General features: G+C 43.2%; 1 long non-coding RNA gene and 1 pseudogene across 1 annotated transcript in view, besides 1 other annotated feature; one reads left to right on the top strand and one right to left on the bottom strand.

The window, feature by feature from the left end:
* Positions 1–6,116, top strand: part of GARS1-DT (GARS1 divergent transcript) — a 29,423-nt gene extending 23,307 nt beyond the window's left edge. Inside the window, exons 6-7 of the long non-coding RNA NR_038889.1 lie at positions 2,294–2,373; positions 3,692–6,116. This is a non-coding gene — a long non-coding RNA (GARS1 divergent transcript). The remainder of the gene's footprint in view (positions 1–2,293; positions 2,374–3,691) is intronic.
* Positions 5,283–5,784: an enhancer, noted in NCBI's record as "OCT4-NANOG-H3K27ac hESC enhancer chr7:30588305-30588806 (GRCh37/hg19 assembly coordinates)". NCBI's record gives its function as "activates a minimal SCP1, AML or CMV promoter by ChIP-STARR-seq in naive H9 embryonic stem cells {active_cell/tissue: H9 hESC(naive)}" and the evidence as "EXISTENCE:reporter gene assay evidence [ECO:0000049][PMID:30033119]".
* On the bottom strand, positions 10,042–10,420 carry TRPC6P10 (TRPC6 pseudogene 10; annotated as a pseudogene).

Here is a 22,252-nt window from a genome sequence, read left to right as displayed (position 1 = left end):
AGCTGACTGAGGTGCTAGCAGAACTCCTCAGGAAATCACCAGGAGGAGCATCCCTGGGTGCCCCATGCACCAGTCAAGAGCAGGAGCAAGAGGAAAGGAAGGTAGCCTCTTCTTCCTGCAGTGTCTCTCCAGAGCCCTCCATTGACAGCACTTAATATCGTGCTAGCAGGCAAAGAAATGTTTACAGGATTCATCTCCAGTATCACAAAGGAGGATAACGAAGAGTGGATTTGGAATTCAGAGGCTCTAAAGTGATAACTGTCACAGCCCACCCCTTTGGCTACTCAGTTTCCATATGCACCCTCCTACACATACCTGAACTTCTATATGACAACGAACAAAATACAGCTATCCTTCTTACCAGGGAAAATATTCCTACCCTTTCTCCCAAATGAGAAGATACTCGTGCCAACAACAATTTTATCTATCTCTGGCTATATTCATTACTCGAATTTGATCACAGTCCCTCTAAATATTCTGTTACCAAAAGACCAAATTGTAAAGCTAACCTCCAACAACTTGTATATAAACTGATAAAGGGAAGAAGGAGAGAGAGATAAAATGGATGGCATTTTCCCATCACCCATCTATCAGTGGGAAAGAACTCTGGGGAAGTGCTCTTGAGGAAGTATCTTTGGGAAGAATCCCTGATTGGCCCTACTTGGGTCATGTGTGTTGGAATCTGTGAAAGTCGGGAATTTTGCCCATCTTACAAGCTAGTAAGCCTGTTATGGTTTCATGGATGCTGGCAGATGACATGAGACTGGATCAGAGACAAAGGACTACACTACTCATGGCAGAACAAGTTGCACGAGGTTTGTGTTAGTTAGCATTGGTTTTCCTTGTCCCCAAGTCCCACAGGGGTGATGTGGAGGGGCCCAGGTGGTTACTGTACACGCAGTGTGTTTGTACTGCAGCTAAGGAACACTGAGCTTGGGAACATACAATTTAATAGTAAGTGGTGAGCAAGTCTGCCCTTTGTCTGGGGCAGGGGGATATTGCTTTGTCAAGGCTGTCTACTGCAAACACAACCCTGAGAAATATCCCAAGCAAGGAACAGTCAGGACCTTGCATTCTTGTCATCCCCAGCAAGAGCATGCAGAGACAATCAGAGCCTGTGGCAAATTGCCTGTCACAAAAATCCACCACAAGGCCTGACAGATCCTTGGCCAAATTCACATTTTCCCATGAGTATGCTACCTCATCAGCTGCTCTGATTAGTCTGACCAACAGAGGGACCAAATCTGTTTAATTTGATTCCTATCACATTTAAAATTAAGGCTGCTATTGACAGGACTTCAAGCAATACAGTGCAGCAAGTCTGCCATATTGATCTCACCCATGTCCCCAGGGTCCCGGGCTCAACCAACTGTCTAAAAGTTCTGGGGGCAAGGGAGACCAGTCATTCCTATTTCAGATAGCTAGGATAAAATCTAATATCAGTCTAGTATTCATTATGACCCACTCATGGGAGTTTAGATTCACTGATATCATTGCCAGTGACTACAGGAGGCAATGTAGGGAGCAAAGACCCTCATCCCTGATGGAAGGACATTCATGGCCTCTCCCTTTCAAAGAGACAATCCAAAGGGGAGCAGGTCACTCTAGTTTGGAATTTGTTGTTAAATTTGATTTGAATCATCATTGCATTGGTTTGGTTAGGTAAGATGGTTAAATTTTACGTGTCAACTTGGCTGGGTCATGAGACTAAGATATTTGGTCAAACATTACTCTGGATGTTTCTGTGAGGGTGTTTTTGGATGAGATTAACATTTAAATCATTGGACTTTGAGTAAAGCAGATGACTCTACCTAATGTGGATGGTCCTCAACCAATCAATTGGAGGCCTAAATAGAACAAAAGACTGACCTCTTCCAGGCAAGAAGGAATTCTGCCAGCACATGAACTTTGCACTTGAACTGAAACAGTGGCTCTCCTGGGTCTCCAGCCTGCCAGCCCCCACCCTGCAGATTTTGGACTTGCCAGCCTCCATAATCATGGCAGCCCATTCCTTAAAATAAATCTCACTCTCTCTCTTCCTCTAGAATATACATACATATATATATATATATACACACACACACGCACACACATATAATATTATATATATTTTATATGCACACACAAAATAACAGATAGATAGATATCGTATTAGTTCTGTTTTTTTGGAGAACCCTGACTAGTCCTAGTTGCCTTTCTTTTCTTTTTCCACTTTTCTTCTGAGCTCATGTTCCACCTTCTGATATCTTAACATCATTTCCCTGAGCTCACTTTATCCTTTTCCTTCTTAAAGGCGACCATTTCATTAAGTTTTTAAGTGCCTGGTAATTGCTTGGTTATGACCGGTGTCTGCTCCATGGCAGCCTCTTCCTGGTGAGTATTCCACATCTGCCATTGGTTTTTCCTATCCCTTTCCTACATTTGCAGAGATCCTGCATGTCTTCCTTTTTGATGACTCATCTTTGAACAAGTGGAATTTTTTTTTTTTTTTTTTTTTGAGACGGAGTCTCACTCTGTCGCCAGGCAGGAGTGCAGTGGCGCAATCTTGGTGCACTGCAACCTCCGCCTCCCGGGTTCCAGTGATTCTCCTGCCTCAGCCTCCCAAGTAGCTGGGACTACAGGTGCCCGCCACCATGCCCAGCTAATTTTTTGTATTTTTAGTAGAGACGGGGTTTCACCATGTTGGCCAGGATGGTCTTGATCTCTTGACCTCGTGATCCACCTGCCTCAGCCTCCCAAAGTGCTGGGATTACAGGCGTGAGCCACCACACCCGGCCAAACAAGTGGAATTTTTCCTGGACCAGCTCTTTGCTGGTCATGTGGGAGGAGTTGGGGCTGTGTTCCAAGTCAGCTGGAATTTTTCTTATAACCCAGGATTTTACATGTGAGCTTGATCAGCCTTTACTTCTCAGCTTAAGCAGGTCTGGGCATGTTTGGCAACCTGGCCTGCATAATGAAGATTTCCATAATTTGGTGTTCATCTATTTATTCAGTTTTTGCCCGAATGATGAAGGAGGAAGTTTACATCTTGCTCCCTGGGGACAGGCAGAGACAGTGTGTGCACTTCCATCCTACAGGGACCAGATCTGAACAGTCTGGAGAGAGGAGCTGTGGTGGCAGCAGACAGATCTCTGCTTCAGGGGCCAGGTGTCTAGGTGAGACGCCACAGCGCGGCAGAGAGAACAGAGGCTTCTCTGCATGCCTGCCAGGGAATTGGCACCATGTCAACAGAAATCTTAGGTTACAGGAACAGGAACCAGCCCTGACTGACGTGTGCAAGCCCGGAGCTTTCCTTTCTCCTTGCACTTCCCACATGTTCCCCACATAACCAGCAACCACAGAGCCACCCCCTGCCACCCAACAACTCCCTCCTGAGCTAGAAACTTGTAAGACTCAGCTAGGAGTCTGAATGGTTGGATATCTAAAGCAAAGAATAATCTAGTTTGTAACATGGGACCAAAGGAAGAACTGAATATCCACAATCTGTGTAAAAAGAGGCCACTTTGGAGATTTCTATGCCTCTCAGGGGCTCTATCTCAGGATGGCTCAGCTGTAATTATCTTTGGATTCCCATACAGATCCAACTTCCCTGGAAAGAGAAAGTCTCATGTTTGTTAATAATATGAGGAAAGAATTAAAATATATCAGCTGCTATGGGCTAATGTCATTTATTTTGACTTTTCTTTTGTAGAAGAAATGCTGAGGCAGTGTCACGCTGGTGTCTGTCCTCCTTACAGAATGCCTGAACAGTTCCATTGACTCAAAGTGAAGATCAAAAGAACCAAATGACAGCAATAGCCAAGTGTAATCATCAGTAACCCTGTGTTCTATCCACAGGTAAAAAACAATCATCCTCTTCATTATGGGTTTCAATTTTAAATGTAATACATTTTTAGAAATGCCTATTTCCTTTTATAATCTCTTTATATAATCTAGGTTATTCTGGCTCTTAGGTCTTCATTTAGCTACTGAAAAGATTTGATCTCAAATCAATGATCTAACCACCCATGACCATCTCCCACCTCTCTCCCCGTACACCCCCCAGCATGAATTCTGGGAACTCAGGTAAAATGCTTTCTGGAAACCTGCCTGTATTAGTCTGTTGTCAAGCTGCTAATAAACACATACCCGAAACTGGGTAGTTTATAAAGGAAAGAGGTTTCCTTTATAGTTCCACATGGCTTGGGAGGCCTCACAATCATGGTGGAAGGCGAATGAGAAGCAAAGTCACATCTTGCATGGCAGCAGGGAAGAGAGAGTTTGTGTAGGGGAACACCCCTTTAAAAAACCATCAGATCTTGTGACACTCATTCACTGTCACGAGAACAGCACGGGAAAGACCCGCCCCCATGATTCAATTACCTCCCATGACACAAGGGAAGTATAGGAGCTACAATTCACAATGAGATCTGGGTGGGGACACAGACAAACCATGTCACCGCCTAAAACCAACTCAATAGTCTAAGGAATTTGACTGGGGAGAATCTGGAGAGGATTTAATTAATTTGGCAAAAGGATTAGCAATTGAATCTAAGTGAGAAAAGAGAATTCTTGGAGGAAAAAAAGATGTTTAGTTACACTGAGAAATTAAAACCTGAAGTAATTGCCTTTGAGATTTTTTTCAGGAAATGAGTATTGATTGCCTACTGTGTGTCAAATTATGTGTTTCATGTCAAAGACTCCAAAGTAGATAAGATATAGGCCCAGCCTTGGGGAGCTCATTGAGTCACAGAGAAAGTTTGAATGTTTCAGAGGAATCATCAAGAACAGGGGATCAGCAATCTATTATATTTTAATTGCGTCTTTTCATGATTATAAAAGCAATGCATGCGTGCTGAAGAGAATTTGGAAAAACAAAGAAGAAATTAAAAATCGTCTCTGATCCTGCCACCAGAAATAACCACTGTTAGCAATTGTATCACTTCTGTAGGTCTACATGGTTATCATAATAAGCTCTAGTATTGATTACATGCATCTCATGTACCAGAGATTATGCTAGACTCTCATTTAATCTGTACATTAGCCCTATGAAGTAGGGACCATCATTCTCCTCATTTTACAGATGAGGAAACAGAGGCTTGGAGAGGTTACTCTGCCTAAAGTCTCATAGCTAGCGAGTGGCAGAGATTGGACTCACCCAAGCTTTGTCTTATTCTCAAGCTCTCAACCAACCCGGTGGTGAGAAGAGCCAGCAGCAAAGCCTGTCATCTTTGTCTTCTTTTTTTTTCTAACCTCAAATCAGGGAGAAAATGCCCTTTGTCATTAGAAGGGCAAGGCAATTCTGAAGACAGCCCAGTTGGCTTGTCTCCGATTTGGCTTTCAGGGGCCTGTCTGATACCTATGGAGAGACGAGGGCTGAACAAGCTGTACTCTCAAAACAAAACAAAGCAAAACAAAACTTTAGTCTCTTTAGGGACTCTCTGATAGTAATGCAGAGGGAGAAAGGCTTTCTTTGTCTCACTGGGAGGAAGGTTCCCTACGGAAATTGAAGGCAGTGCCTGTTGACATAGCGCTGCCACCTGGTGGAAATAATGGTGTAGGACATCATGTCCAGCACCACTAGCGCTGAGACACTCCCTGGGAAGAGAAATGTTTGGAGAGAAATTTGCAAGAAGTTGGAAGTCTCGCAGTAGCAGGTAGGAACAAGAATTATAACTGCTACTGTGACCCCCTAAGGCTCCTCACATCCTCTTAAGGCTTGGAGAAACTCACACTATGTATATTTTCCTGTATTTTTGAAAAATGTTTTCCTTTATGCTTTGTTGTAATGAAATTACCTCTGATGGTCACATACCTTAAATATTTAGTATATATATGAATACTAAATGTCCATTTTCAGGAGTTAGTTTACCTGCATCTAAAATCAGGAATAGGTCACAGAGTAACTGAGCAAAAAGTGCTGTTAGGTTTGTGCATTTCACCCTTTGCCTGGGATGAGAGGACCTCAATCATCTTGGTACTAATGACAGGAAAAGTGCCCTCCTATCCATGTGTATCGGCTACGTGACTCAAGTCTCCTTATTTCCTTTTCTAGCATAACAAGGGGTTGTTACTGTTGTTTTACATCTGTGTTAATGAGATAAATAAGTTTAAAATAAAAAGATGTGTACCAGGCAGATGGAAAGGTGAACCATGAAGTTTTTGCCATCTGGATCTTCTGTCAAAGACAGATGAAAAATTCTGCCCAGGGTGTATGCTGAAGAACACAAATACTTAATCTGGAGTTCAAGTATGGGCTTCAAGGAGTCTATACACCCCTGAAATTTTGGGACAGATGGAATGTGTCTGAAGTATATTCATTTTTCTGGGAGGAAGCTCCAGAGTTTTCATCAGCTTCTGAAAATAGTGCATGCCCAAAGAGAAGGTTCAAAATCATTGCCTGGGGCCTTTCAGAGGGTCCTTCTAATCATGGTGTTCCCTAATGTTAATCAACACCACAAGCACTATTATTATTAAAAGTAATTGGGTCAGGTGTGGTGGCTCATGCCTATAATCCCAGTACTTTGGAAAGCTGAGGGAGGTGGATTGGTTGAGTCCAGGAATTCCAGACCAGCCTGGCCAACATTAGCTGGGTGTGAAGGCACACATCTATAGTCCCAGCTACTCAGGAGGCTGAGGTGGGAGTATCTTCTGAGCCCAGGAGGTGGAGGCTGCAGTGAGTTGAGATCATGCCTCTGGCACTCCAGCCTGGGCAACAGAGCAGGACCCTGTTTCAATAATGATAATAGTAATCATCATCATCATCATCATGATGTCGCAAGCTGATTTGAAATAACTTATTTTTATATAAGCACTTGGATTTACATAGGCTTGACTGAGGAATTACACTAGTGATTAAGGGTTCAACCTGGACACTGGTAAGGTAGACCAAGCCACATGAACCCCTGCCATTGGCAGGCCAGCAGCCAGTCCATCCTTCCTCCTTTGGACCCGTGGACTGTACTCAAAATCAGTAGAGGCTCTGTCAGAAGGTCCTGGGAAACAAGACCTGTCCATGGTTTCTTTACCTGAAAGTAAAAATGTTTGATGATATAATTTTTAAGTTCCTTTGAATCATTAAAGCTCACTGATTTAGGAGAATGGCTTTTACAATTTTTCAGCTTTAAACTCCCTCCTAAGTTTCTGAAGATCCTCTTGGGCCACTTCATGGATCTGATTTAAATCTAAAGTCCTAGGGGTTTCAAGGAGCACAGTTTGGAATCTACCATCCCGGGACATTCATTATATTAGTCTGTTTTCATGCTGCTGATAAAGACATACCCAAGACTGGGCAATTTACAAAAGAAAGAGATTTAATTGGACTTACAGTCCCACGTGTTGTTCCCTTTTTGCTGACATTACCCTGTCTGAAGTCCTCTACCCAGGGAAGCCACAAGGCACTGTTCTGGGTGGAGGTGGGTGTGGTGTCCACTGCGCCATACCCACCAGGACCTGAGGTGGAAGCTGGCCAGACACTGGTGCTCTGCTGGCATTTGGGCTGCAGATTTGGGGCAGGTAATGGGCATGGAGAGAACAGAGCCAAAAGCAGCACAGGAAGATGTGGCCATTCTGGTCTGAGAGAGGCATGGGAAATGACGGTTGGTGGCAGAAGCGTTTTCTAAACTTAGGCTCGTGAACAGCTTTCAAGTCCAGCTCTTGTCCAGATGTTGTCTTATACCACATGCTCATGGCAACCAGACCACCTCTGATTTTTTTGCAACCAGGTGCCTAACACAGCACATCAGTCAGGATCTGGCAGGAAGCAGGTGACATTCACACAAGGTAACTGACGAAAGCTGCTTTTGTTTTTTGCTTTTGGAGGAAGATGTTGAGAACACCTCCATTTATTAAATTAGCTATAGTAAGTGTAGTTTACATATTAAGGAGAGATTAATGATAGGATTTATACAGATGTGACAGGTTTAGGGAATGACCCCACTCAGCTGTCCCCCTTTCTATGAGACCATGCCTCTGCCTTCTCCCAACTCCATTCCAGCCCAGATGGCCTTCCTTTGTCCTTCTGTGGGGTGGAGATGGGAATGGTTCTCAGTTCCAGCTAGAATCAATTCAACTGGGGAAGCTTCAAAATACGTCAGTGCCTGGGCCCCGCCCCCAGCATTTCTAATTTAATGGGGCTCAGGTGGGGCCTGGGCAGTGGTGCTGTGTAAAAGCTCTCAGTTGATTCCAACACGCCCAGACCAATTCATTGACACTCTCTGGGGTAGAGGGCCTGGGCACTGGTACTTTTTCAAATTTCTCCAGTGCAGCCAGAACCAAGAAGCTCTGTTTTCTTTCCAAATCTATTGTCTGTTGGGGTGATCAGACCCAACACCAGGTCATGGGGGTGACAAAGTCTGGTGGAGTCAAAGGATTGAGAAATAGGTTTGAAAGAGAAAGGTGGGACACCAGGGGGCCATCGCCATTGTGGAGGCTGTGAAGGCCCTGAGCTCTGGGAGCCCATGCTATTTATTGGCAGTCCAACAAAGAAACATGTGGTGAGAATGTGGAGGTCAAAAGGACATGTTGCATTAAGCACATGATTTACAGCTGTGATGGTTTAGCGTTTATATGGAACATGTTTTGCTACTTGAGATAATGGGAGTAGGAGCCTAGGAAGGCTAGAAGCAAGGAGCCAGCAAGGCTAGACACATTCCAGAGGACATTATGTCAGATATGCAAGCCCTGCCTCAGTTTCTCCCAACACTCAGCTTTTTCCTAACATGCCCCCCTTCTCTTTTTTGTAAAAGAGAAAGTATTATTACTAGCTATCATTAGCAAGGTGATTGCAGGCTGTGCAGCCCTTAATTGCCGGTTGGTGATCCAGCTTCATTTTTCTTAGCCCTTATTCAAACCGGAGTCACTCTGGTTTGAGTGCTTCCCACATATCTCCGCTTTCCCTTTTACAGGACCCTTAATCCTAGGGGTTGCAGAAGGATGAAGGTCCATCTTCTGTAACTTCTTCATGCTGAATAGGGGTGATGATACTCCTGCCTAACTATTAGGGTTTCTGTATTCAGGGTAGAGAGGAGCTCAGCCAGAAAGCATTGGTCTGTTAAGCATCAAGACTCCGGTCGGTCCTCGTTCCATCTTCTCATTCAGATTCAGCTGGCTCATGGCTCGTACTGGGGAACCCAGTCCATGCTTAGGATCCATGGGTCCCTCCAGTCTCCCATTCCATGGTCGTACACGTCTTGAGGGCATCCACATGGTTCGTTCATCTCCTGCAAAAACACAAGCATACCCTCACCCCCACATTAGTAAATCTACTGAAACAGAAGCAAAAACTGTTGTGGCTGTAGCTGGGAGGCCACTGATATTGAGAAACAGGCCCTTCCAACAGAAGGCACCAGGAAAGCAAATCAAGGCTTAAAAGCAATCCTTAAACCTTCAATTTGCACTGTACAGGTGGGTCCACTAGATGCTGTGGCTCATGACAGATCTTCAGATGTTTGGTGAGGACCCACACAGGCACCTGATCATCACCTGGAGAGACACAAACAAATCCTCTTCCTCATATTAAAGAATGGAATTCTTGTGCATCAGCAAAGACCACAGACACCAATGCATCTGCCCTTTAAGTTTAAAGGACCAAAGAGTCCTATTGGAGAAAAAAGAAAAAGCATTTTTATCCTTACCTTCCCCCGCTCTATTCCTTTTATATTTGCCCTTTGAGCCATAGCTAATTTCCATAATTCAGAATGTTCTCGTCTGTCCCTGCAAATCTCTGCTAGTCTTTGCTAGCCTCTACTTTTGTACCTCTTTAGGGCACTGACCTTATATTGCTAGTCTTTGCTTTTGTACCTCTTTAGGGCACTGATTTTATATTGCTAGTCTTCATCTATCCCTATCTGTCCCTGTGGTACCTGTGAGTTCCTGCAAGTCTCTGTCTCTATCTCTATCTCTATTTATCTCTATCTATCTATATCTCTATCTATCTCTATCTCTATTTATCTCTATATTTATCTCCTTTAGCTGTACTTACTTATCTCTACTTAGACTTACTTATCTCTACTTACTTACTTGTCTCTACTTATCTCTACTTACTTATCTCTGCATCTTTCCTGGAAACCTTTTCTATGACCCTGAGTAGAGCTCAGAAATCCACCCTTTAAGCTTCACCAAGAGAAAAACAGGGACACTGGACCCTGCACCAGATTGAAGGGAACAGGAAGTGCTCTCCCCGCCCCAAAGCAGGAAAACAAGAGTTTGGCCCTTGCAAATTTCCACTCCACATCAGCGTCATCCTCAATTTCCTGGAACATTATAGCAATGAATTTGTGGTTATAGCTGATGACCACTGATTTCACTTCAGAAAGTCCAAATATAGCCCAGAACAGTGTCTTAAAACTCTGTTGTGAAGGCTTCATTTTGTTTTGCACCAATGTAGTAGGAGTAGACGTTGAACATTCCCATCATAAAGGCCACAAATACCACAATGAACACATTCCTTGTGTGCTGATTAAATCGTTTTTCTGTAGCAGAGGTAGGTTAACCATGAAACTGAAGCGTGATGACTTCACTTGCCCTATGCAAAGCAGCCCATGATTTATTTTTTCTGGGGACTACTGACAACCAGTCCTGTGTGTCAACCGGTAAGCATCCAACAGCAGGTCTACTGTACAAATAGGTCTTTTGTCAGACACTTGATTAACCCAATATATAGCCTTTCCTGTTGGATTAGTGCTACCAAAGCCTCCAGTTCTTTTCACTGTACTGCTTCCCAGCTTTATGTCAACAACTGAGCAATTCTTTCTCCTAGGGAAGCAGACCACGGAGTTGAAGAACTAATAACTAATTGAATTTCTCCAGTATAATCAGAACCAATCATTCCCATATGCACAGTTACATCTCTAGGTCTTTCTTTTTATTATTATTATACTTTAAGTTCTAGGGTGCATGTGCACAACGTGCAGGTTTGTTACGTATGTATACATGTGCCATGTGGGTGTGCTGCACCCATTAACTCGTCATTTACATTAGGTATATCTCCTAATGCTATCTCTCTCCGCTCCCGCCACCCCACTACAGGCCCCAGTGTGTGATGTTCCACTTCCTGTGTCCAAGTGTTCTCATTGTTCAATTCCCACCTATGAGTGAGAACATGCGTGTTTGGTTTTCTGTCCTTGCGATAGTTTGCTGAGAATGATGGTTTCCAGCTTCATCCATGTCCCTACAAAGGACATAAACTTATCCCTTTTTATGGCTGCATAGTATTCCATGGTGTATATGTGCCACATTTTCTTAATCCAGTCTATCATTGATGGACATTTGGGTTGGTTCCAAGTATTTGCTATTGTGAATAGTGCCACAATAAACATAAGTGTGCATGTGTCTTTACAGCAGCATGATTTATAATCCCTTGGTTATATACCCAGTAATGGGATGGCTGGGTCAAATGGTATTTCTAGCTCTAGATCCTTGAGGAATTGCCACACTGTCTTCCACAATGGTTGAACTAGTTTACAGTCCCACCAACAGTGTAATAAAAGTGTTCCTATTTCTCCACATCCTCTCCAGCACCTGTTGTTTCCTGACTTTTTAATGATCGCCATTCTAACTGGTGTGAGATGGTATCTCATTGTGGTTTGGATTTGCATTTGTCTGATGGCCAGCGATGATGAGCATTTTTTCATGTGTCTGTTGGCTGCGTAAATGTCTTCTTTTGAGAGGTGTCCATTCATATCCTTTGCCCACTTTTTGATGGGGTTGTTTGATTTTTTTCTTGTAAATTTTGTTTAAGTTCTTTGTAGATTCTGGATATTAGCCCTTTGTCAGATGGGTAGATTGTAAAGATTTTCTCCCACTCTGTAGGTTACCTGCTCACTCTGATGGCAGTTTCTTTTGCTGTGCTGAAGCTCTTTAGTTTAATTAGATCCCATTTGTCAATTTTGGCTTTTGTTGCCATTGCTTTTGGTGTTTTAGTCATGAAGTTCTTGCCCATGCCTGTGTCCTGAATGGTATTGTCTAGGTTTTCTTCTAGAGTTTTTATGGTTTTAGGTCTAAAATTTAAGTCTTTAATCCATCCTGAATTAATTTTTGTGTAAGGTGTAAGGAAGGGATCAAGTTTCAGCATTCTACATATGGCTAGCCAGTTTTCCCAGCACCATTTATTAAATAGGGAATCCTTTCCCCATTTCTTGTTTTTGTCAGGTTTGTCAAAGATCAGATTGTTGTAGATGTGTGGCATTATTTCTGAGGGCTCTGTTCTGTTCCATTGGTCCATGTCTCTGTTTTGGTACCAGTACCATGCTGTTTTGGTTACTGTAGCCTTGTAGCATAGTTTGAAGTCAGGTAGCATGATGCCTCCAGCTTTGTTCTTTTGGCTTAGGATTGTCTTGGCAATGTGGGTTCTTTTTTGGTTCCATATGAACTTTAAAGTAGTTTTTTCCAATTCTGTGAAGAAAGTCATTGGTAGCTTGATGGGGATGGCATTGAATCTATAAATTACCTTGGGCAGTATGGCCATTTTCACGATATTGATTCTTCCTATCCATGAGCATGGAATGTTCTTCCATTTGTTTGTGTCGTCTTTTATTTCATTGAGCAGTGGTTTGTAGTTCTCCTTGAAGAGGTCCTTCACATCCCTTGCAAGTTGTATTCCTAGGTATTTTATTTGCTTTGAAGCCATTGTGAATGGGAGTTCACTCAAGATTTGGCTCTCTGTCTGTTACTGGTATATAGGAATGCTTGTGATTTTTGCACATTGATTTTGTATCCTGAGACTTTGCTGAAGTTGCTTATCAACTTAAGGAGATTTTGGGCTGAGACGATGGGGTTTTCTAAATATACAATCTTGTCATCTGCAAACAGGGACAATTTGACTTCCTCTTTTCCTAATTGAATACCCTTTATTTCTTTCTCCTGCCTGATTGCCCTGGCCAGAACTTCCAACACTATGTTGAATAGGAATGGTGATAGAGGGCATCCCTGTCTTGTGCCAGTTTTCAAAGGGAATGCTTCCAGTTTTTGCCCATTCAGTATGATATTGGGTGTGGGTTTGTCATAAATAGCTTTTATTATTTTGAGATACGTCCCATCAATACCTAGTTTATTGAGAGTTTTTAGCATGAAGGTTGTTGAATTTTGTCAAAGGCCTTTTCTGCATCTATTGAGATAATCATGTGGTTTTTGTCTCTGGTTCTGCTTATATGCTGGATTACGTTTATTGATTTGCATATGTTGCACCAGCCTTGAATCCCAGGGATGAAGCCAACTTGATTGTGGTGGATAAGCTTTTTGATGTGCTGCTGGATTCGGTTTGCCAGTATTTTATTGAGGATTTTTGCACTGATGTTCATCAGGGATGTTGGTCTAAAATTCTCTTTTTTTGTTTGTCTCTCTGCCAGACTTTGGTATCAGGATGATGCTGACCTCATAAAATGAGTTAGAGAGGATTCCCACTTTTTCTATTGATTGGAATAGTTTCAGAAGGAATGGTACCAGCTCCTCTTTGTACCTCTGGTAGAATTCGGCTGTGAATCCATCTGGTCCTGGACTTTTTTTGGTTGGTAGGCTATAAACTATTGCCTCAATTTCAGAGCCTGTTATTGGTCTATTCAGGGATTCAACTTCTTCCTGGTTTAGTCTTGGCAGGGTGTATGTGTTGAGGAATTTATTCATTTCTTCTAGATTTTCCAGTTTATTTGCATAGAGGTGTTTATAGTATTCTCTGATGGTAGTTTGTATTTCTGTGGGATAGGTGGTGATATCCCCTTTATCATTTTTTATTGTGCCTATTTGATTCTTCTCTCTTTTCTTCTTTATTAGTCTTGCTAGCAGTCTATCAATTTTGTTGATCTTTTCAAAAAACCAGCTCCTGAATTCATTGATTTTTTTGAAGGGTTTTTTATGTCTCTATCTCCTTCAGTTCTGCTCTAATCTTAGTTACTTCTTGCCTTCTGCTAGCTTTTGAATGTGTTTGCTCTTGCTTCTCTAGTTCTTTTAATTGTAATATTAGGGTGTCAATTTTAGATCTTTCCTCCTTTCTCTTGTGGACATTTAGCGCTATAAACTTCCCTCTACACACTGCTTTAAATATATCCCAGAGATTCTGGTATGTTGTGTCTTTGTTCTCGTTGGTTTCAAAGAACATCTTTATTTCTGCCTTCATTTCGTTGTGTATCCAGTAATTACGCAGGAGCAGGTTGTTCAGTTTCCATGTAGTTGAGCGGTTTTGAGTGATTTCTTAGTCCTGAGTTCCAGTTTGATTGCACTGTGGTCTGACAGACAGTTTGTTATATAATTTCTCTTCTTTTACATTTGTTGAGGAGTGCTTTACTTCCAACCATGTGGTTAATTTTGGAATAAGTGTGACGCGGTGATGACAAGAATGTATATTCTGTTGATTTGGGGTACAGAGTTCTGTAGATGTCTATTAGGTCCACTTGGTGCAGAGGTGAGTTCAATTCCTGGATATCCTTGTTAACTTTCGGCCTCATCGATCTGTCTAATGTTGACAGTGGGGTATTAAAGTCTCCCATTATTATTGTGTGGGAGTCTAAGTCTCTTTGTAGGTCTCTATGGGCTTGCTTTATGAATCTGGGTGCTCCTGTATTGGGTGCATATATATTTAGGATAGTTAGCTCTTCTTGTTGAATTGATCCCTTTTCCATTATGTAATGGCCTTCTTTTCTCTTTTGATCTTTGTTTGTTTAAAGTCTGTTTTATCACACTAGGATTGCAACCCCTGCTTTTTTTGTTTTCCATTTACTTGGTAGATCTTTCTCCAAACCTTTATTTTGAGCCTATGTGTGTCTCTGCACGTGAGATCCTGAATACAGCACACTGATGGGTCTTGGCTCTTTATCCAATTTGCCAGTTTGTGTCTTTTAATTGGAGCATTTAGTCCATTTACGTTCAAGGTTAATATTGTTATGTGTGAATTTGATCCTGTCATTATGATGTTAGCTGGTTATTTTGCTTATTAGTTGATGCAGTTTCTTCCTAGCATCGATGGTCTTTACAATTTTGCATGTTTTTGCAGTGGCTGGTACCAGTTGTTCCTTTCCATGTTTAGTGCTTCCTTCAGGAGCTCTTGTAAGGCAGGCCTGGTGGTGACAAAATCTCTCAGCATTTGTTTGTCTGTAAAGGACTTTATTTCTCCTTCATGTATGAAGCTTAATTTGGCTGGATATGAAATTCTGGGTTGAAAATTCTTTTCTTTAAGAATGTTGAATATTGGCCCCCTCTCTCTTCTGGCTTGTAGAGTTTCTGCCAAGAGATCCGCTATTAGTTTGATGGACTTCCCTTTGTGGGTATGCCGACCTTTCTCTCTGGCTGCCCTTAACATTTTTTCCTTCATTTCAACTTTGGTGAATCTGACAATTATGTGTTTTGGAGTTGCTCTTCTTGAGGAGTATCTTTGTGGCATTCTCTGTATTTCCTGAATTTGAATGTTGGCCTGCCTTGCTAGGTTGGGGAAGTTCTCCTGGATAATATCCTGAACAGTGTTTTCCAACTTGGTTCCATTCGCCCTGTCACTTTCAGGTACACCAATCAGACATAGATTTGGTCTTTTCACATAGTCCCATATTTCTTGGAGGCCTTGTTCATTTCTTTTTACTCTTTTTTTTTTTTCTAAACTCTTCTCACTTCATTTCATTCATTTGATCTTCAATCACTGATACCCTTTCTTCTGCTTGATTGAATTGGCTACTGAAGCTTGTGCATGCGTCACGTAGTTCTCATGCCATGGTTTTCAGCTCCATCAGGTCATTTAAGGTCTTCTCTACGCTGCTTATTCTAGTTATCCATTCATCTAATCTTTTTTCAAGGTTTTTAGCTTCTTTGCGATGGGTTTGAACATCCTCCTTTAGCTCAGAGAAGTTTGTTATTACCGATCATCTGAAACCTTCTTCTCCCAATTCGTCAAAGTCATTCTCTGTCCAGCTTTGTTCCATTGCTGGTGAGGAGCTGCATTCCTTTGGAGGAGAAGAGGTGCTCAGATTTTTAGAATTTTCAGCTTTTCTGTTCTGGTTTCTCCCCATCTTTGTGGTTTTATCTATCTTTGGTCTTTGGTGATGGTGATGTACAGATGGGGTTTTGGTGTGGATGTCCTTTCTGTTTGTTAGTTTTCCTTCTAACAGTCAGGACCCTCAGCTGCAGGTCTGTTGGAGTTTGCTGGAGGTCCACTCCAGACCCTTTTTGCCTGGGTATTGCCAGCAGAGCCTGCAGAACAGCAAATATTGCAGAAGAGCAAATGTTGCTGCCTGATCCTGCCTCTGGAAGCTTCATCTCAGAGGGGCACCCGGCTGCATGAGGTGTCAGTTGGCCCCTACTGGGAGGTGTTTCCCAGTTAGGCTACTCAGGGGTCAGGGACCCACTTGAGGAGGCAGTCTGTCCGTTCTCAGATCTGAAACTCCATGCTGGGAGAACCCCTACTCTCTTCAAAGCTGTCAGACAGGGATGTTTAAGTCTGCAGAAGTTTCTGCTGCCTTTTGTTCAGCTATGCCCTGCCCCCAGAGGTGGAGTCTACAGAGGCAGGCAGGCCTCCTTGAGCTGCAGTGGGCTCCACCCAGTTTGAGCTTCTGGCTGCTTTGTTTACCTACTCAAGCCTCAGCAATGGTGGGCACCCCTCCCCCAGCCTTGCTGCTGCCTTGCAGTTCGATCTCAGACTGCTGTGCTAGCAGAGAGAGAGGCTCCATGGGCATGGGACCCTCCAAGCCAGGTGTGGGATATAATCTCCTGGTGTGTCGTTTGCTAAGACCATTGGAAAAGTGCAGTATTAGGGTGGGAGTGTCCCGATTTTCCAGGTACCATCTGTCATGGCTTCCCTTGGCTAGGAAAGGGAATTCCCTGACCCCTTGCACTTCCCAGGTGAGGTGATGCCCTGCCCTGCTCCGTGGGCTGCACCCACTGTCCAACAAGCCCCAGTGAGATGAAACCGGTACCTCCATTGGAAATGCAGAAATCACCCATCTTCTGTATCGCTCACACTGGGAGCTGTAGGTTGGAGCTGTTCCTATTTGGCCATCTTGGAACCTCTCTAGATCTTTCAAGTAATAGACTGTTCCTGAGGGCAAGGGTCCCCCAACTCCCATGGGGACCCCCTCCGGTGCTCCCCAGGAAGCACAGAAATGGAAACTGCACTGCAAAGGTCCATGGCAGCACTGCCCACCAAGGCGGCAGACAATTGCTGCCATTTGTAAGGGCACTGGCTGTGCCAGATATGCCTTGGTTTATTGAGGTGCTCTCTGAATAAACAAGCCTCAGATTCCACTGGGTCTTAGTGCTACCAATTGCTCCAGGTTTTAATGTTGCAACTACAGGAATGGTAAGTTTTGTAGCTAATTCATTTTCTCGCCCATTAAGGAAAGAGAGAAGAGGTGGCCATTCACTTAATTCAGCAGGTGGAGCCAATGGGCTAGTAAAACATACTTTTTTCATTTTCCCTTTCTTTAATTTCCTGCGTTTCCTGTTCCTCACATTCAGAATCTGAATTTAGTTCTTTACACTCGTCCTCATCTTCCTCATCTGAATCTGCCTCATCATCTGTTTGAAATGGCTCAAGAGTTGCTTTTATTAGTGCCCATATTGACCAAACCAAGACTGGAATTTTTGCTCCATCTTTATATGCTTTTTAAAAAATCTCGGCCAATTCTCTCCCATTCCTCCAACTCTATAGTCCCTTGTTCTGGGAACCATGGGCAAAACTGCTTTACTGCACTGAAGAGTGAGTGATAACAAATTCTGAGGACTAACTTTCACTCTCCATCTTCATAATAAATGCCTTAAGAAATTTCGATAAGCAGAATGTCTGCTTTCACTTTGTCTCATTGTTACCCTGGTTCTTCCAAGTGCTCAGCTTTCCTACTGAGCTTCTTTTAGACATCCTCAGGTGTCCTTTGACGATGCATCCTCTGCTTTCACACACTCTAGCGTTCCTTCAGTGGGGTCTTTGTCGCCCCACATTGAGCAGCCAGGAATGTTGGGGTGATCAGACCCAACACCAGGTCTTGGGGGTGACAAAGTCCGACGGAGTCAAAGGATTGAGAAGTAGACAGTTTGAGAGAGAAAGGTGGGATACCAGGGGGCCATCACCATTGTGGAGGCTGTGAAGGCCCTGAGCTCTGGGAGCCCATGCTATTTATTGGTAATCCAACAAAGAAACAAGTGGTGAGAATGTGGAGGTGGAAAGGACACATTGCATTAAGCACATGATTTACAGCTGTAATGGTTTAGCATTTATATGGAACATGTTCTGCTACTTGAGATAATGGGAGTAGGAGCCTAGGAAGGCTAGAAGCAAAAAGCCAGCAAGTCTAGATACATTCCAGAGGACATGTCAGACATGCAAGCCCTGCCTCAGTTTCTCCCGACACTCAGCTTTTTCCCAACAATTGTCTTAGCAAAAACTCAGAGCTCTGTTCTCCTCATACCTTCCTTTAGTTTTGAAGGTATATTTCAGAAGTAAAATAATATAATTACATTTAAAAACTGAACATTGATTATTTTTACCCTAACAACACTACCTGAGGTACTGTCAGAATCTCCATCCAGAGGAGGGTCAAGAACAAGGGAATAAAAGAAAAGCAACACCTCTATTTGATAGCAGCATTCTTCACAACAGCCAAGAGGTGGAAGCAACCCAGTGTCCACCATGGATGAATGGATAAGCAAAACGTGTCATGTACATACAGTGGCATGTTACTCAGCCTTAAAAAAGAAGAAAACTCTGGGGTGGGCACAGTGGCTCATGTCTGTAATCTCAGCACTTTGGGAGGCCAAGGCGGGTGGATCACCTGAGGTCAGGAGCTCGAGACCAGTCTGGCCAACATGGCAAAACCCCATCTCTAATAAAAATACAAAAATTAGACTCTACCTCAAAAAAAAAAAGAAGAAAAAGCAGAAGAAGAGGAAGAACAGGAAGAAGAAAACTGTGAGACATGATACATGCTATACCATGTAGGAATGTTGACATGATGCTAAGTGAAATAAGCCAGTCACAAAAAGACAAATGCTATGTGATTTCTCTTATATGAGATGTCTATGGTACTCAAATTTACCGAGACAGGAAGCAGAATGGTCGTTGCCAAAAGCTGTGGGGAGAGAGGCATGGAGAGTTGTTGTTTAATGGGTAAGAGTTTCAGATTTCTTAAGATGAAAGTCCTGGAGAGGGAGGGTGGTCACTGCATTGTACAGCAACGTGAATGTGCTGAACGCTACTGACTTGTACACTTAAGAATGGTTACAATCGTAAATTTTATGTGTATTTTACCCCAATTAAACAAAATTGTAGCCAAGCATGGTGGCTCACATCTGTAATCACAGCACTTTGAGAGGCCAAAGCAGGTGGATCACTTGAGCCCAGAAGTATGAGACAAGCCTGGGCAACATAGTGATATCCCATCTCTACCAAAAAAAAAAAAAAAATTAGCCAGGTGTGATGGTGCTCACCTGTAGTCCCAGCTACTCAGGGGGCTGAGGCAGGAGGATCATTTGAGCCTGGGAAGTTAAGGCTAAAGGAAGCCATGATTGCATCACTGCTCTCTAGCCTGGGTGACAGAGCAAGACCCTGTCTAAAGAAAAAAGGGAGCTGGGTGCGGTGGCTCACGCCTGTAATCCCAGCACTTTGGGAGGCTGAGATGGGTGGATCACTTGTGGTCAATAGTTCGAGACCAGCCTGGTCAACATAGTGAAACCCCCATCTCTAATAAAAATACAAAAATTAGCCAGGCATGGTGGCACATGCCTGTAATCCCAGCTACTCAGGAGGCTGAGGCAGGACAATCACTTGAACCTGGGAGGTGGAGGGTGCAGTGAGCCGAGATCGCACCACTGCACTCCAGCCTGGGTGACAAGAAAGAAAAAGAAAAAAAAGAAAAGAAAAAGGCCAAAATTTTAAAGCAGCAATATTTAAATATGTAAGTATTCAAGCAATATTCAAGTCGTATCTTCCTACACAAGTTTGAGTGGAAAAACTCTCCCCACCCCCCACTATCTTCACTCCTACCCATTAGGGTTTGCTCTGGATAAGGGGAGAGCAAATCTTCATACTCTCACTTTCTTCTTAATCCGGACTTGTGAGAAGACACAGCAGTGTTTAAGAATATGAACTGCAAATAAAAACCAGCTTTCCAAGCTCCTCCTCATTCTCCGTGTGGTCAGCGAGGCACAAGGTGAGGATTAGGTGGTTTGGAGGGTGCCAACAAGGACTCCAAAATGGTGGACAGGAAGACCCCAGGCAGGGTCAGGAAGTGGAGGAAGAGCAAAGTGCAAGTAAAATTCTGCATAGTGAGGTACAGGAAAGAGGATGATTCTTCCAATCATGTGGGAAGAGTGAGGTTTTTTTACGGCAAAGGAACCTTATTTCCAATTATGCTACTTTAGGAAAATGTTCCTCTTTGTTGACACAGGTTCCCGCTGCACCATCCCTGAGCGTTGTTTGTCCATGTGAGCTCTATGTGTGGGCTTCTGCCCAAGGGTTATCCTCGTGGGACTGGGAGGCTGTCTGCAAAGAGAAGGGCTGTGACTTCGCTTTGCCTTGTGTGGGAGAGCTGCAAGGGCCCCACCCTGGGGTGCCTGTGCCCAGCCTGGACTCCTCTGTTGGAGCTCCTCAGTGACATTATTCTAAATTAAAGTCCCACTCTGGGAAAGGGATTCCTGCACATTGCCAGGCTCTGCTGCACTGTTCAGGGTCTAGGGAGGGAGGCCAGGAGAAGGCCCGCCTGTCAGGGAGAGCTGTGTGTTTCCCTCACATGGCCCATGGAATCGAAGAGGGCCAAATTCGAAAAACCCAAAGTAAGGCTAAACTTAGTTATGCCCATCAGAGAACCTTCACCAAGTATTTGACGTTTTTCCTCCTTTGATTCTGGGAACGGTATCTGGCATCCAGTTTAAAGGTACTTTTTCTATTGTGGAAATAAATGAAGATGAACCAAATGAAATCAAGCAAAGCCTATTTATTGAGAGCCTGCTCTAACAAGGGAGTCACATGCAATCACTTGTATTTTGGAAGAGATGCGAAAGCAGGCAGAGGAGTGGGAAAGCTTCCTAACAGAAGAAAGGGGCATCTTGACCAGACCCCAGAGCCACAGCTTCTTGCACTACCCTGCACTGTCCTCTACTGTCTCTGTCCTCAGGTCATCTTTGTATGAGAGCTGAAACAAGAAGACGAAGGGTCACCTTTTTTGACCTTAGCTTGGGACGTGTGCAAAGAGTGACAGAGTTTTCACTACTGTGTGTCTATCCAGGAGCCACCTTGAAAGCTCCACAAGTATTAATTTGGGGATTACAAAGACACTTTTAGCAAGTAAGCAAATTTGCAAATATGGGATTCGCAAATAATGAGGGTCAACTGTATTTGTAAGTGACTGCTAGGGCCTGTTTCATGGTAATCTCTTTCCCCAAGAATGTAGAATGTTTCTTTAGCTTCTTTGATAGTTTATTTATTCATTAATGTATTTATTAAGTACTTATTATAAGCCAGGCTCTGCTTTAATCTGTGATGAACAAACTAGAGATTAAGGTCCTGCCCCGTGGATTTTATATTTGAGTAAGAAAGACAGATAGCTAAGTCTGGAGCTCAGGGGGTGAGGCCCAGATTGAAATTATAGATTCACTTGACCAAGGTGAAACCTGGTGTGCCCCCTCCTACTTCACATCCCCAGACATACTTCCAGAACATTTCTGTTCTGTTCTTGTGTATAAACTCTTCCTTTTGAGCCTCTCTCCATTGACGCATATCAACCTCTACTTGTCTTTTGTTGATTTTGAGGCCACTTGCCCATTTTACTGGCAAGATACTGAAGAAGAATCATACTGACCTGGTTCTGCTACATACCAGCTGAGTTACTTTGGTCAAGCTCTTGGACTTCTGAGCCTGTTTCCTAATTTCAGAAGTGGTGATATGATGTGTTAGGCCCTGGTGGGTTGCAAGGAAGAGGCATACACACACCACCTTTGGTGGTGAAGGCTGAATGTTAACTTTGATGGAAAGTCATCCAAGCAGCCATATTGTCTCTGGCCCTAGTACTTTCAAAACCCCACAGAACATTAATTTAGCAGTATTTAGGATAGGATTTGAGCTCTGAAGACCTATAGTGTGGTTATTTGTTCATATGGCTGTTTTCCATACTAGACCATGAGCTCATGAGGGCAGGGTCTACAGTCTCATCTTTCTATCCCTAGGCATTCAGTTCAGTGCCTGATACATAGTAATAGAGGCACAAATGTTTCAAAAGTTGAGGAATTTTCAACTCTTCCTGAAAGAACAGGAAGATATAAAGGCTTCTCAGAGAAGGTATTATTTAAGGTTTTTTTTTTTTTTTTTTTT

This window comes from Homo sapiens, chromosome 7, assembly GCF_000001405.40.
Source record: "Homo sapiens chromosome 7, GRCh38.p14 Primary Assembly".
Lineage (NCBI taxonomy): Eukaryota > Metazoa > Chordata > Mammalia > Primates > Hominidae > Homo > Homo sapiens.
Note: the sequence above shows the minus strand (reverse complement) of the source record. Positions and strands in the feature narration are given on the sequence as shown.